This window comes from Homo sapiens, chromosome 11, assembly GCF_000001405.40.
Source record: "Homo sapiens chromosome 11, GRCh38.p14 Primary Assembly".
In the NCBI taxonomy this organism is placed as follows: domain Eukaryota; kingdom Metazoa; phylum Chordata; class Mammalia; order Primates; family Hominidae; genus Homo; species Homo sapiens.
Window position 1 is genome coordinate 83919979 of NC_000011.10, and position 17619 is coordinate 83937597.

General features: G+C 36.8%; 1 protein-coding gene across 52 annotated transcripts in view; it reads right to left on the bottom strand.

Annotated features, from left to right (window-relative positions):
* DLG2 (discs large MAGUK scaffold protein 2) overlaps window positions 1-17619 on the bottom strand; it is a 2173362-nt gene that overhangs the window by 464967 nt on the left and 1690776 nt on the right. For 39 of the 52 annotated variants that reach the window (NR_165353.1, NM_001351274.2, XM_017017256.3 and 36 more), the window contains one exon: window positions 10350-10505. The exons of the other annotated variants lie outside the window; for them this stretch is intronic. Coding sequence is in view for 38 of the 39 variants with exons in the window: in NM_001351274.2 (NP_001338203.1) it covers window positions 10350-10505 (156 nt within the window). In the remaining variant the exon portion in view is untranslated. The remainder of the gene's footprint in view (window positions 1-10349; window positions 10506-17619) is intronic. 52 annotated transcript variants of the gene reach the window in all.

Here is a 17619-nt window from a genome sequence, read left to right on the forward strand (position 1 = left end):
TGCTCAAAGAACACTTGGTCACGGGGATGAGTTAGGGCTGAAATCTAGTCTGAATGCTGTTCACCATGCCACAGACCCTGACACAGTGCGTGCCAGAAGAAGGGGAGCCTTCGTAAAATTTGGACAAAGGCTTTGGCCGCTTAGTAGTGGCCCAGTGTACCCTCTCCTTTTAAAAGCAAGCCATAAAATTCCTCTTTACCCTCTAAGGTATTCATTTCCTCTGGCATAGAGTGATCTTAAGTTTTAGTATTCAATTTGGAACACACACACCTACTGACTTTAAAAGCCCTCTTCAAGAGATCCTTTAAACCTCATATGAGCTGAAGGTCTACAGAACCAAATTAAAGGGTTGATAGGGAAGGTTTATTTTCTCTTCTCTGAGAGGCAGATTTTAATCTTTTAATTAAAATAAAATTCTACATTCTAAAATATTTAGATCTCTATATAAATACAGGCAGGCTTGCACAGCCCTTCCCCCATACTGCCAACCCTACCATTCATCTCCCTTCACAATTCACTGGACTCACTATTAAGTTATGAATGGAAACAGTCTTTTATAACAGTCTTTTGAAAAAAAATCATTCTCACCTCAGCCTGAGGTATCTATTGGGGGGGTCACAATACATCATCTCACATATACAAATATAATGATAGCTAAAATTTATGGAGCACTTCATATTTATCAGGTATTGCTCTCAGCACTTTATATAAAACCTCTTGAAATCCTTATAGGTACCCCATGAGATTGATACTACAATAATTGCTACCTTTTAGAAAAGTCCCTTGCTCAAGTTTACAAAGCTAGAAAGTTGTGGAGGCAAAATTCAAACTCTAATATTTTGTGTTCTAGAGTCTAGTTTCCTAACCATATATTCATTGTCTGTCTATCTATCTATCTTCATATATCAATCAGTCATCTGTTGATATATCACCTATCTACTAAAAAGATGTGACTATTGTTTAATGGGGTGTACTTTTCTCTGAAGCAGAATTCAATACTTGAAGAATTACTACTATAATATTCAGTCAATATTTATTAAGCACATTTAAAAACACAGACTCTAGTACCAGCCTAGTTAGGTTCAAATTCTACCTTAGAAAGGTTAGCTAACTGTTTCATCACCTGCAAAATGGGATAATAATAACACATACCTCCCTGGGTTGCTGTGGAGATTAATGAGTTAATTTGTATAAAGTTCTGCTGGGTAGGTAACAAGATGATAAACAGTGATTGTTGTAATCATTATCCTCATAGTTGCCATCATCATCATCTGTATTGTCATTGTTACTATTAGTACTATATGCCAGGTACGATTTTTGGCACAGGGAATAAAATGATAAATAAAACAAAACTTCTGCTCAAATAAAATTAATATTCTAAGTGTAATTTCTGATGACCTCATTTGCAACTATCTCATCTCATTGTTTCCATTTGTTTCTCAAACCATGTACCGTAATATTTCCATAAAATTGGGATGATCATAGCTACCGCATAAGTCATTATAAGGTTAAAATGAGTTGGTACATATAAAACTTCTGGAATAGCGCATAGCACCTAAGGGCACCCAATACACATCAGTGGTTTTAATTAATATCTACGCAATGGGTGTTATGGTTTAACGTTACTATCTTGATTCTGAGTCCTACAATTTGTTGCCATGGTGATTTTTGCATAGAATTTTCTCATAGGTAGTTTCCTTCACAAAGGAATGCTTTTGAAGCTGTGCTTATTCTCTGTTTTCTTATTGCTACCCAATAATTTGATGGTTACTAAAGTAAATACAAAGATTGCTCCCAAAACACAAACAGACATACTAAAACTAACAGAAAATATTCACATCATCTCAGATAGAGATATTATCTCACTTTTAACTTTTTTTTAAAAAGCTAATCAATTAAATTTAGATTGCTTTATCACGGAGTTATTTGAACGTCACAGAATAGGAATTCTGGAGTAAAACCAATCTGGTTTCACTTCCCAACTCTGTTATCTCAAGGTATTTGACCCTCATGAAGCCTCCTGACTCTACCTGCCTGGGTTGTTGTGCAGAGTAAATAAGAGCTTTTAAAACAGGGTGAGTTCCTTGTTTTCTGTTGTCCTTTACATTACAAAATGTTAACTGTGCTTTTAAAACAATTATTGAATTCTTAATGAAAGAATATCTTCCCGCTAGTATCAAAAAATAGTGAGGGACAACAATGAATGCTGTAAATTTAAGAAATTATCTATTGAGACAATGCATTAATATAAAATCAAGGGGTATTTCTTTCCATGTAAACCCTTTCACAGATTGCATTGCAGAGGAAATAGGCTATAAAACCAAATGTAGCAAGAGTGGCCTCTGTCACTCTGGGAGTCAATTAATCTCTCCTTATTTTCCTTAATTCATATTGGGTTTAGTGATCACCTACTTCAAAAAGGGAGTGACAGCGTTTGAAAAATAAGCTACTACATAAACTTAGAAAGGGGCTATGCCTTGTGAGTCATTCTCAGAGGGCTCAGTCTCTTGGTTTTAATTAAAAGTGAAATAAAGAATTCTTTAAGATTATATCAGCCTTTTAAGGGCATAAGAAGGTCACTGATTTGTAAGCATCTTCTTTCTTTTTCTAATGGTGCTGTTTCCCAGATTGAATCGTGTGAACAAGGCTCAAATTTCCTTTCAGAATCTACAGATTCGTGGCAGAGTGGATGTGGGAAGTGGGGAACAGAGTGAGAAGCTACAGTGTACAGAGTGAACGTGATTAAGGCTCTGTGAGAAGATGAGCTTGGATGTGAGAATGCCTTGGGTACAGCCCAGATTCCTCCAATTGCTAGATCAAAACACACACTTTGCAAAATTAATGAGATTATTAGAAACAATAAACTACCTATGTAAAGTGCCTGGCTACTGATCTGTGTACCATAAAGCGGCTATTATTTTGTCCACACTCCTGAGAAGAAACATGTAAGACAGAAATACCACTATGAGTAGATAGAAAAGTATCTCATATAAGTATAAAATCACATATGGGATTAGACACATGCTGCCATTTACAGGGAGCCTATAAACGTAATAATAAAAGGAAAAATATGTGACATTGATTATGATGACAAGAAGGATGGCTGCTAAGAATGATAGAAGGTCTCAGCCCAAACAGCTTTCTTATGACCTCAGGGGATTTGCCTGAACTGATAAACATTTTCTACCTGATTTGTGATAGCAACAAAAATCAATATACATGAGTTCAAGGCTTTAAAATAGAATACACATATGGGAACAATTAATAATGACTAATGTGGCTAGTGCCTGGATGAAAATTCATTTGCTCAATTTCCCTTGATCATCACAGCAATCCTATGAGGGGAACAGCACAGATACAATTATTCTTCTCACTTTCTAATGAGGGAATTGAGGCTCTGAGGGTGGTAACATGTTTAGCTAAAATGCACATGATTAGTATGGCCAAATGGGAGGCTTCAGACCTAGACAGTTCGGGCACAATCCTTAGCTCCTCTGTGACTTCACCTTGCCACTACCTCAAACAAGGGACCCGATATATTTTGTCTCCCTTCCCTCCCATTGTTTTCTAAAGAGTTTTATGTTTAAGTGTACTTATTGTGGACAAGAGTGCTCATTCTGTCCAACAGGGGCAAAGAATCACCCTCCAGTAAATATCCCAAGCCAGAAAATTCTTCCCCTGAGTCAGTCACCAAGTACCACCTGTTTTATTTAATAAATAGTTCTGAATCCATTTGTACCTCCCTATCTCGATAGTCTCAGTTCAGTTCTTCATTATTTCAACCCTGCTCTATAATATAATACTAACTAGTTTCCCTGCATTCAAACTTTTCCCACACAGGTGGCAGAGTGATCTTTTTAAAAATGCAAAGCAGCTTGTGTCTTTGCTCAGCTTTAAAACTCTTCAACAGCTCCCCACTGCCTATAGGATAAAGTACAAAATCCTCAGCTTGGTAAGTAAGATCTTCTATGATACACAGCTGCCTTTTTCTCCAACCTTATCACCCACCCAATAGCCCTCAGCCACACAGGTAGTCTGGTAGTCCCAGAAGGCATTGTGTGCCTTTATATAACACGATGCTTAACTTATTCCTATTTCTTTTACTTGGAACACATCTCTTCCCTAATCCTACTGATAAGCTCAGTGTCTTCATGAAAATGCCCAGAAAAACAAGGGCAGAGTTAGGTAATTCCTCCTATGTTTACCTTTAGAGACTTACATGCACTTCTATTAGAGATTAGTTTTGGAATTTGTATTTGATTTTGTATTTACAGACTTTGAAACAGTTAAAACATTAAAGGCCCAGTAAATTTTCTGCCACTCTGCAAGGAAAGAAAGCTTGCCAAAGATAAGTTTTAGTATTCAATTTGGAACACATATACCTGCTGACTTTAAAAACTCATTTAAGGGATCCTATAACTTCATATGGGCTGATAGTCTACAGAACTGAATTAAAGGGTTAAAATGGAAGGTTTACTTTCTCTTCTCTGAGAAGTAAATTTTGAAGCCTTAATGAAAACAAAATGGCATGTTGTAAAATACTTAGATCTCTATAAAAATACAGGCAGGCTTGCACAGCCCTTCCCCCATACTGCCAACCCTACCATTCATCTCCCTTCACAATTCACTGGACTCGCTATTAAGCTATGAACGGAAACAGTCTTTTATAACAGTTCTTTAATACAAATTAAAATTCATTCTCACCTCAGCCTGAGGTACTATTCAGGGGCTTACCATAACTCTGGCATATGATTGAGGTCTTATAAAATAAAGATCTTGCTCTGCATCCCAAAACTAAGAATGGCTTGAGGCTGCCAACGTTATGATTTCTACAAAGGTGGTAAATTATAAATGTGGATTCTCTGAGCCCAGCAGAGAACAGTTAGAAGTTAGACCTATGAGAAGATGAGTGTGCATTTTTCATAGATAATGCTTCTTATACATGATTAGAAATTGATGGCTAGGTGTGGACGGGGCCATTTCTTTGTGTATGTTAATGCCTCTGCAGAAGGAACAGTCTGAGGTCATATTTGCTTCCAACACTACCGCTTGTAATAATCTGATTGTAGTTATGCTAAATTAAATAAGCAGGAGGCCCTTAGGTTAACGCTGTCTCCATACTCTGAGTTCCCACATAACAATCTGAAACCTAACTTAGAAGTGTTACACAGAGTAGCGTTTCAGATACTCACAAGCAGCTGGGTTTCAGTCAATTGCAGGCAGCCAACTCATCACACCGTGCCCAAATAAAGCAGATGCCTAGCTGTAGCCCATCAGGTGATTTCTCTGCTTTGCTTCTGTGTACAGGCTATAAAAGGTTGCTTCTCAAACTGCTCAGTGGAGCTCTCTAAACCTCTTCTGGTTCTGAGTGCTGCCTGATTCATGAATTGTTCTTTGCTCAAATAAACTCTGTTAAGTTTAATTTCTTTAAATTTGTTATTTTAACAGCTACCTAGAGATTAGGTACATTTGAGAAACTGAGGCCTTTTAGCAGATATATATCACATGGTAAGTAATTCTTCATTTATATGTCTGTGAGATATTTAAGGGGAGAGACCATGTTTTTTTCACCTTTGAATCCCTAACATTAAGGATGATGCCTGGTAACTAGTTGAAGTCCCATGAATATATATATCCTTCAGTGAGTGAAGATGTTTTATGACGATATAGTGCTTCACAGTTCATTTCCCATCCAAAACCTGCCAATATATTTTAATTAGCCTTCATCTGGTTTATCTCAGCCTCTGTTATCAACTGCAAAATAACAATAATTAGGACCTTTTATGTAAAAGGACAAATAAATGTATGCCATAAATATTGATAAAACAGCCAAGAATACTATTCTCCTTGCCCTAGAAATATCAAAAGCTGAAAAACTTACTCTCCCAAAGTAGAAAAACCAATTAAAACATCAAAATTACCTTTTTTCAAAGAAAAAGAGATGTACTAGATAAGCAGGAGTCCCATAGAAATCCTATTTGTTTTTCAAATTTTAGTTTGATTTCAGGCTCTGCACATTTCTTGCTTCTGCAAGCATTAAGAAGTCAATTCCTCCAAACATAATCTGCAGCCATAGGCACTGTGCCAAGTAATTTAAAGTGCTTTCCTAAGAAAAACTAACAACTTCTCTGTTTTCTTTTAAACGGTCTTACAGAAGTAAATTGTGTGTACAATTAATTCATCCCTGAATGTTTGCTATTAATTCAAAGAGCTGAGAACTTGGGTATTCCCACTGAAGCTCAGAAAATACAGAAGACTGACTCAGGTTGCTTTTGCTGACTAACCTTTATTCTTCTAAATGTGGATTAGGAATTAAACTGATGTAAATGTAAGGATGGTTTCACATGCTAACTTTTCCAGAGCTAGTGCATATTCTAATCTGAAGCCATAACTGCTATATCAATATGGGCAAGTTTCTGGAATAGACTTCAGGAATTTTTCAAAAGCTCTGAACAAAATATACATCATTATCTACTGCATCCTAAAAATCAGGCATTTCTTCAACATTTTTGGCTTTTTCACCTTGCACCTTTGTAAAAAGTTGTCCCATTATAGTAGCATCTTGCACTTTGTGGATGATCCTTGATAAGGCTTAGCTAAATAAATTAATAGATATATTTTTATAATATCTTTTTTAGGGCAAAAGATTCTAGAATATTTATATTTAACCATGAGGTGTAATAAGACGTAGACTGTGAAGATAGTAGATTGGGTTCCACAACATTACTAGAGTTGGATAAGGGTTTTTCTATCTAATTCTAAGTTCTCATCTACTTCCGAGGGTCTATATGTTATTCAAGAACACAGAGAACAGCACACAGGTGATGGTGTCAAAAATGGAACCAGAATATTTTACTTTGCCCCTGAATTATTGGCTGCATTTCAAGATACAGTGGCTTGGAGAGGTATTTCCCATTGGAAAAATAAATAATATCTGAAATGAATTACTGAGTCCTCACGAAGAACTGACAGGTGCCTAATGGATTTATAATGTAGACAATCACCATAGACATAGTTTATGGTGAAAGTACGACATAAAGTAAGTTCTAGTTATTATTTGTTTCTATGCATGGATTCATTCATTCATGGAGTAGTTTTATATACCTACTAAGAACTAGGTAAAGCGCAGCTTGAGCTTACGACTTGTTTTCAAACAGGTAACAGTTTGCTTGTTTGCAGATTTTATTTCCATGTTTATGTATTCATCCAATAATCCTGAGCTCCTGCTAGCCAGATACTGTACTAACTGTTAGGAATATAGCAGTGCCCAAAAATACACAATTCCACTCATTGCGCTTACAGTGTAGCAGGTGATACAGTCATGAAAATCACATAAATAAATGTACAATTATAAATTGCTTGAGTCTTATGAAAAATAGAAAGAAAATATATAATGGGGGCCTGATTTTCTGTTTTAGAGAGCTTCTCTGAAGACGTGCAATTTAAGCTTGGATCTAAGATGACCAGAAATTAATCAGGCAAAGTGTAAAAAGAGCTTTCCAATTCCAGGGAAAAGCATATGTGAAACACTTGAGACTAGAAGAGATTTAGTGCATTTTGTGAATAAAAAGAAGGCCAACATGAATATGTGGTCAGCAAAGGGAAGAGTGAAATGAGGTATCCAAGAGGCAGGCAGTGGCTAGGTCATGCAGAGCCTGGATGCTATGTTAATGACTTCGCATTGCATCCTAATGCAAAAGGAGATCTGATCTGTATTTTTTACAGATCACTTTGGTTGCACTGAGAATAAGCCTGGAGGTCAACAGTGGAAATGGTGAGACCAATTAAGAAGCTATTATAGGTGGGAGATGATGGGGGCTTGGATTAAAGTGGTGGAAATAGAAGTAAAGAAAAGTGAATAAATCTGAGATATTTTGGAGGTAGAATCAACAGGACTTGAAGATGAATTGAATGGCAGATATGAGGGAAAACATAGTAAGGATGACTCTCAAGTTTTTGGCTTGAACAATGCGGTAGATGTGTGTGCCATTTACTAAGTTGAGGAAGTATGGAGGAGGAGCAAAGTGGGGTGAAATTAAGATTTTTGGTGTCAATGCACTGGTAGTGACAAGGCCACTAAAATAGCTGTCTGTGTGTTTTTGTGTGTCTATGACTGTTTTTCTACAAAGATAAGATAAAGAATAAGATAATGGAAAAAGAAAAAAAGAAGGAGAAAGAAGGGGACCAAATTAGAATAAATTGAAAATAGAATACCCAAAAAGGGGAATGGTGGATGGGGGTTGGGGCCTGGTGCATATCAGAATTAGGGTGTGTAATTTGAAAAAAAAATTCAACATTGTACTATAATGTTTTTATTTGAAAAATAAATAACTATGGTATTCATGATACAGATGACAGAAAGCAAGCTGAAAAGAATCATATCTGGCAGGTGCACATAGAGGTGAACTGTTATCAGCTACTTCTTCGTGAATTTTTCAGGAAGGATGCTTCAAAATCCCCATTGGAATGGAAGGAAACCAATGTAACTTTTACATTCATAAAAAAGGAACACAGGATAAAAAGAAAAAAAATATTTACTGACACAGAGCCAGAAGAAGGGAAGGAATATGAGAAGTCGGGATAAAGATAGGGAAAGGATAGAAAAAGAGAAATGGGGGGAAATTTTTTTCCAGTGAGCAAAAATGGCTAATGGTCTGCCAGGTCAGTCATCATCTGGGTTTGAATCCCAGCTGTCACTTACTAATGGATGATCTTGGGCAAGTCAGGCAACTTATCAAGTCTCGATTTTCTCATTTGTAAAACAAAGATAATAATAACATCTACCTCAAAAAATTATTGTGAGGATTAAGAGAAATAATTCATAAGAAGTATTTAACAAAATGCCTGGCACAGAAGAGCTCAATAAATGTTAGCTACCCTTATGTAGCTGACTATAGGTACATAATTACTAGCAAGTCATTACAGGTATGTGGCTCTTCTCACTTCCTTACGGCTATGGTGACTTTGACCTTTCAGCTTTAAAATGGCATAGTTCACTGTATCAACAAATAGTTTTAATGATTTGTTAAAAATATAGGTGGACTTAATGAATATTTATAAAGTATTCTGAAATATTAGTTAGACTTTAATTATTGCAAATTAATAAAAAAATGCCCTAGCTGATTTACATAGTCAAAAATGTGTTTTCTCATTTATTTCTGGAAATGTTAGATGTAATTTAAAATTTGTTATTTAACTCTCCTAGAGAGAACAGTAATTGACTTCCAAACTTATTCTTTCAAAGTATCAAAAAATAAAGATGATATTCTTAGCAGACCCTCTTGATATATCCATCTTCACTCTGAATCGTTCTAAAGTCTGTATTTTTTCAGCTCTAACAATATTATGAAGATATTCCTGTCTGAAAAAATAACTATATAGACACCCCATTCTGTGTAGGAACATTACAATTGGGATCTCTGTTTAGACTGAATTGGAACTACCTTGTGGAACGCTGAATTCTATTTTTCTTGCTTTCCTCTCTCTCCAACTCAGGCTACTATGAAAAGAGGAGGTCTTTTTTGTTATTTATCATATATAGGCTTTGGAATACTAACACAGAATTGTGTCCAACTTTCAGACTTAGAATAATTTCTTTACAAAGTTGTTGAAAGACTCAAAACATTCTCAAAACATTCTAAGGTCAAATTTGGACTCTACATTTATTGGCAAGATCATACTGAGGGCAATACCTTTAACCACTCTGAACTTCTATTTCTTAAAATAGGCTGGGAGCAGTTAAATAAGAGAATATATATATATGTACATACATAGGATGGTAACATAATATAAACATTAATTTTACGTTCCGTGTGGTGAGATGGAACCAACTAATCCTGTAGTTTTGGACAAGTTGCTTAATACCTTAAAGACTCAGTTAAATGGTGATATTAATCTAATATTTTAGTTAAAATATTAAATGATAATAGTGCATATTTCTTAGGCCATGTTATGCCTGGAGCATAGTAAGCACTTATTAAATATTATTTAAAAATATTCAACAAATGTTCTCTTTCATCCTTCTGTATGAGTGAAATGGTGTTAAGTTCCAAAATTAATTCTTCTGGAAAAATATAATGAATGCCTTATTAAAATGTATAGGAACCAGGAACATGTGGAGCATCATGTGATCAATGTCTAAGTGCTCTGTGATCACTCCAGGGAATAAAACAAAACAAAAAGGCAATGTTCTTAATTTCTCCCATTGCACCAAGGGAACAGCAGAACATCTCTCCACTTTGGGGAAGATGTTTAGTGCAAGAGAAGTGAGCAGAGGCGGATTCTACCCATTTATCCTTGTGGAAGCACATGCAGTTCGAGAAGATGAAGTGAGGAAGCGCATGCAGTACCTGGTCATCTCAGAGTCAGGTAGCAGGCCTAGGTGGTAGTGGGAATAGGGAGCTGAGAGGAGGAAGCTTTTGTCACACTCAACAGGGGAATAGTGCCTGGGAGAAGCAGGCTTATCACATAGTTTGTTCACAGTGCTGTAAACAGGTTCCGGAGGCCTGGTGATACAAGAGGAAGAGAAAGATATGCATGGTTAGTACATACAAGGAACACCTGTGCAACCAGTAGCATCTCAGCATGTGCAAAAGTAAAAACAATGCCATTTTATCTTGATTTGTTACTAAAAGAAACCCAATTTTCCACTTGTAACTTTTCTTATAATAAAGACTTTATTCCTCAGACTCTTCTGTGGGTAAAAGTGGCCCCATGAAAATGTTCAGTCCAATGTGATGTGAGTGCTCTGAAGTATTTTGTGAACTAGAATAGCTGCTTATAAGGAAGCTCGTTTAGCCAGAATTCTTGAAATTTTGTTCTCTCCCATTTCCTCCGTTTACTTACCTGGAACACAGACATGATGGGTGGAGCTTCACTGGTCATCTTAGACCATGAAGCAAACTTGAGGATAAAGCCAAAAAATACACATAGTGGAATATAAAGATAGAACCTGTGTCACTGATAATATGGAGTGGCACTATACCAACTCTGGACTAGCTACCTTTGAATTCCTTCTATGTGGATAAAGATAAACTGTGTTGTTCAAGCTAGGATCATTTTTTTCTTATATAAATAGGACCTAATATTAACAGATATACTCCTACAAAATTTAAGACTGCACATCTAATACAAAGAAATAGTATAAATAGGGCCTACTACAAATGCTAATATATTTAATTATGTTTGGAGTCCATCTAATATCTTCTGTATACATAGGAAATGTAAAGAATGTTATTTTCTTTCCATATAATTTGGTCCTATGACCACTTGGAGAAATTTCTGCATCTTAATTTGAAAATATTATTATACACAAAATGGTAGCTGATCTAAACTGCCAGCACAGAACCTTAGAAGAAAGGATTCAATGACTTCTTTTAGATCATAAAACATTCTCATGATAATGTCATTTCGGTAACATTGTTGTTTCTGCCTGGGAGGGCTGATCCAATTTTCTCAGTCTGATGTTGACTCTACAGACTAAGAAAATGATGTTTCCAATTTTCTCCTAGTCCTTTTACCTCAGTAGCACCATATTCTGAGTCACATTTTCACAATCAAAGCTGGCTAATGGAGATCTTTTAAAAATTCCTGGTTATATTGTATTTAACTGAATTCTTTATTCAGTTTCTCTTTGAAAATATTTTACTTTCTGAAAATTACAATAAATTCAAGCCAATGAAAATGAGATCCTGTATTTTGTCCAGGGTTGAACTCTTGAAACTTTTATTTGAATCTTTTGGGAACCATTTTGTGAATATAATATTATCGTTTGATTCACATATTTAATAGATTTGGTGTTTGGAGCAGGCTTTAATACCTCGGATTTTAGAAGAAGGCTCTTATTTCTTTGCTTTCAGTCACCTTCAGGATGGTTTCATAGTGGACTGATATTTGCTAAGCTTAATTCTTCACCGTTCAAAGTCTTATCAACACAGAGAAACAGTTACTGATATCGCAGGTTCATTTTACCTTTGTTTCACCTTCTATTTCTTACCTATTTATTTACTTGTTATTTTGTACATTCACTGGCTAAAGAATAGAGATATCACATCCAGTTTCTTTTGTTGATTGTGAGAGCACTTAATATCTCAGAAGATGAGTAGATGAAAGTATACCAAAACATAACAAACCACTTGACAAATTTGACAAAGCCTTCTTGCAATACTGACAAGGTTCTCTTGCAATCAAACAACAACATTAAAAATATCAGTAAAAATCCCCTTTCAAGTGGCATAAAAATGGGGTTCACATTTGAAGATTTTTTTTTTTTTTTTAGACGTAATCTCACTCTGTCACCCAGGCTGGAGTGCAGTGGCGCAATCTCGGCTCACTGCAAACTCCGCCTCCTGGGTTCACGCCATTCTCCTGCCCCAGCCTCCCGAGAAGCTGGGACTACAGGCGCCTGCCACCACGCCCGGCTAATTTTTTGTATTTTTAGTAGAGATGGGGTTTCACTGCATTAGCAAGGATGGTCTTGATCTCCTGACCTCATGATCTGCCTGCCTCTGCCTCCCAAAGTGCTGGGATTACAGGCGTGAGCCACCGCGCCCGGCATATCTAATGGTTTTATTACAGCGCTAGGATTCTGTCATATATTCTATCATATAGTATGTATATTATGTACTAGAGCACAGTACAGTATACAGAAAGTACAACATAGGCTACAGTCTGAACACAGAAATGGCACATAGTAGGTATTTGGTAAATGTTTGAATGAATAGATAATTTTTTTTTTTTTTAGCCATTCTTTGCAGAGGGAAATTTTAAAAAACCTTCTGGTTCTTTCAAGGGAGCCATAAGCTACTCTAAATTTTTCAGGCCATTATAAATTCTCACAGGTTATACCAGAAGAACCAGAATCCCAATGTTATCATGAACTGAGTGGCTTTAAGTACTTAATTATAGCATGTGCGCATGGTTCATCTGCCCTCAAAGGGATAGGTTTCTTGTGCGTTTGAGTTTAGCCACTGAAATGCCTGCCCATAGTTCCTGTGAGAGTCGCTCCAATGGGCACAGTGGGCTCCTCACAGACTTCTCGGCCCTGAGTTCCAGAAGGCCTAATACTGGGAGCCAGCATTCTTAGTCTTTCCCTGCAGTTATATTCTGTGTGACCTCTGCCCATCAGACAAACAAGAAATGCCGTTTTATAAACCATCACTGAAATCTGGGTGGCAGAACAGATGCCACTATCACTTCCCATTTAGTTGGTAAGGAAGTGCCAAGGGGAAATGACTTTTGGCAGCGTGAATCAGCCAGTCATAATTGAAAGGGCCTGCTTATCCTATTATAAACTGCCAGAATGGCCTAGGTCAGAAGGTAGTGAATATGAAAATCCAACCCAAGAGGCCTATCTGTGGATGCCCACAGAGGGAGGGAAAAGTATTTGAAGATATTGGTACAATCTCTAAGTGAATTTATAAACAAATCATTTCTCTTGCTGTCCATTTATAAAGAGCCATAGATAATGACGTTGTAGCTCATCTGCTGAGCCATCAGCATTTATTTGCACATCTATGGGTTTATAATTGCAGGTTCTTATAGCATATAATTAGCACACCCTGGCCCTTGGTGATCTCTCTTTTCTCTGAACTCCATTAGCACTTGCTATTTGTTCTATTTCCTTGTCATTTTTAATTGCTAATCCACAATACTGGTGTATGTTGGAGGGAGGTGCTTCATCTATACCTTATTCTTAGGAAAACTACTTTGCCTATAACTGCTCCTTCCCATTTGGACCACTTGCACTATCAAATTCAGTTTCCTCCCTAAACAAAGCAGTTTAGACCATTGGATTAGGATTGGGCCCCTCACCTTGCAACCATGATCTGTATGGTGGGGCTCAAAAAAAAGAAAGAGAGAAAAAAAAGGCCTAGGCCATTTGGATTCTCCTATGGAAGGTGAATAATGTGAATAAAGGAGAAAAAATTTTCAGTTAACAGAAAAAGGAAAAGATGCAAACATGGAGAAGGTAGCTGTAGCTGTGTCCACTAATTATAGAGCACCAGAGTGAAGCTCTATCAAATTTTGTTGCTAAAATGTCTAGAGGTTCCTTGAGTCTAGAATAACTGTCTGGGTTCATTCTTACAGCAGGGTTATGAGAGCTCATGCTATTGAATTTCTTTGATGATTCCCATATGACATTAGTTGTCAATCAGCTACCCATCTCCCACCCTGTTCCCTTATTGGAAGTTAGATCTGATCTCATGTTTGCAATCACTACAGTGAAAATAAAACAGGCACCTTGTTTATTTTCACATCTCTTTCATATCACCTCAACTAGACTATGCCTCCCAAAGCCAACAGACAAAACCTTGGGCCTCTATGTAATTACATAGTACCTGAGACTAATACCAGACTGACTCTATCTTTAAAAGTTTGATATTTTGTTCATTATAAATTCTTTTGCATTAATTTTATTTTCTAAAATATTTCATTAAAGTATTTTTGTCTTAATTGCTGTTTCTCGGTGTCCCCTTAAATTTTGCACCCAACATGAGTACCTCACTCACCTCACTATAGTCCCTGCCCTGTATCAGAGATAATGTTTAAGACAGTGATAATAATGACTGTGATTGTAAATAGTCTTCATCTGTGTAGCACCTGAACCTACAAGGTCAAAGGAATATGACTCTCTTCTCTCAGAGATAACAATGAGAGTGACTTACACTTTATTGAGTTTTCTAACTCCCTACCAAAGAGCTCTCAAAGCCTTCAGGCTGTCTCAGGCAGGGACCTCACCTCATTGCACTGTCTTTATTAATTCACAATGCTCTCTCCTTCTCTAGAATATTAGACCCTGGAGGATCAGGACCAAATCTCATGTGTCTTTGTTTCCCCATTACTTTCCTCAATGCAAGAATGTATTACTGAAGTACTGTCATAGAAAATGAAAGGAACTGTGAAATGAAAAGTGATCAGTACCTTTTATTCTCTTTTCCCGAGCCAGAACTAAAAGGGGACATCTAAAATTACAAAAAGATGGATTTGGGTCATATATGTATATGATTTTGAGCATAAATTTCTTCATCATATAGACTGATATGGCTAAATCTGCAGAACTTTCAGATTCTCCAAAGGTTATCCTGCTATGGTTTTCTTGGGTTGCCATAATAGGAGGGGGCATCCAACCGCATGCCCTGTATTTGCAGAATATAGAACCAAACTGCATTAATTATAGCAGCTGGGACGTCAAGGGCTCAGATGCCTAAGTATCTAATATATTGCCAGATATCATTTGAGGAAAAAGGATTGTAACTTTAAAAGGGTGCCTCATGCTCCTCTTTACAAATAATACACTGTTTATTGGGCCAAGGATTTGGAAAAGTATAAGAGGATTGAATTCCAGTCCTGGGCTAATAGCTCTTAAGGGTGGGATTTTGGGAAGCCCTAAAAGTAATTAGGGGATAAAAGAGAATTAGTATCAGGCTGTGAACTATGTGGCTCAACATGTGAAATGACATTATAAAAATGGTTAAGAAAGAGGCTGACTTCTCTTATACTGAACTTTAAGCAGAAAGGTATTAGTCACTTGATTAAGGTGTTATACAGGCCTTAAAGTATGATATAGAGACATCTAGGGGAGGGATTGATCTAGGTGATTTGTAAGAACCTATTCGCTCCCCTAATTCCAAGCACCACTGAATTGGGCACTCAAGAATTTCCACGGGGGCAGTTGGAGTAGATGCCTATTTGCGCCACGCTTACTTAACTCTTACAAATCTTAGCTTTCTCATTTATAGACCTAAAATAATATTTAAAAAGATTTTTCTGTTTACCAGAAAAATTATAAATTGCAAAATTATGCACAGACCTAAATTATTATGAGCACCATGTTAAGTACAAGCAAACCAAACTAGGTTTAGATCTGGCTCTTTCAAATTCTACCTTGTATGACCTTATGCTATTTCTTAACATCCTCATCTGGAAAGTGGGAATAGTAATATCAGCCTAAAGATGATTGTGAGAAATAGGAACAATGTGCATAAAGCACTTAGTTCAGTCCGTGGCACTTACTCAGAGCTCACCAAAAAGGAGCCATTATTATTATCTTGATTATCACTCTTAGACACTCGAGCTCACAAGGATGCATAACCTCAGAAAATGTTGGTCCCCTTTGTGAGAATTCCTACAAATAATATTCTTCACCCACTCACTTAGAATCAGTCAGTTCACACGATAGCACTTTCATGTAATGTGAATTCTCTACAAGAGGGTTGAACCAAGGAAGTAACAATCGATGGCTTTTAGTCTCGCAAAAGGTACTGCACAGGTGCCTTCTAAAGACTCACTTTTGCTCTGTATATTTAAAAGGTAATTGATCCTCTTTAATAGCCCTGGAGGTTGATGACCACTTTCTCTGTACTTCTCAATTATTTTCACTGCCTCTAACAATATAGCAGCCCCAACTCTAACGCCCGATTTGTACCTGGATCTTTATAATGGTTTGCTTTCCCGTATGGTTCACAGCTGTGGTATCACATCAGATTGTTGGGTCATAAGTAATTTGTTATTAATAATAGTTTAGATACCACAGTCTGCAAATACTTACTATTTAAAAGTAGAAATTAGGATTGGTTCACTATTTTTTCTATGTAAACATCACTCTCAGTTATATTTTACTGTGTTTATTGAGGAGTTTATTGGAAGATTGAGGAGACAAAGGGCAGAGTAAGAGCTGCATCATTTAAAGTTGTTTTGAATATTAAGATGCTTTATTTCCTTAAAAAGTGTTTGGGTTTCAACAAAATTAGGCTCTCTCACGGCAGTGGGTTGTAAATGGGTTATGGAGTGTTTCATTGGAATAAGAAGTTGAATATTAATGACCTTGACAATGGTGATTGTAACAAAAGGGAGAGGGATCTCTGTTTTTGGTATTGGGTGAGGGTGTCCAGCTATAGTAGAATTTTTGTGGCTTTCTGAAAGATGTTTAAACAAATATAGTCTAAGAGTCACAGGGTCAATATTATGGCCAGATCAAGGCCGTTGAGACATGGATTTGAATTATTTGAGGAAGGTTCAATATGTCCTATACTAGTGTTTAAACTCTTACACTTTTGTAAACCTGCTTTTAAAGGCTTTGTATTGATTTTTAAAAAATTTTTAATTGAACTCATAGGATAAATATAGATCTACAAAATGTCAGGTTAGTAGTTACTAAGAATCGTGATGGAAAAAAAATTAAGCATGAAATAAATAGGAGGAATCACATAAAAGATGAGAGATTTGACTACATAAAAATTTGAAACCAGCCGGGCGCGGTGGCTCATGCCTGTAATCCCAGCACTTTGGGAGGCCGAGGTGGGCGGATCACGAGGTCAGGAGATCGAGACCATCCTGGCTACCACGGTGAAACCCAGTCTCTACTAAAAATATAAAAAATTAGCCGGGCTTGGTGGCGGGTGCCTGTAGTCCCAGCTACTCGGGGAGGCTGAGGCAGGAGAATGGCCTGAACCTGGAAGGCGGAGTTTGCAGTGAGCCGAGATTGTGCCACCGCACTCCAGCCTGGGCGAAAGAGTGAGACTCCATCTCAAAAAAAAAAAAAAAAAAAAAAATTGAAACCACTGAAGCAAGAACTCATAAACAAGCAATAAGCTGGGGAAAACATTTGCTCAAATATAT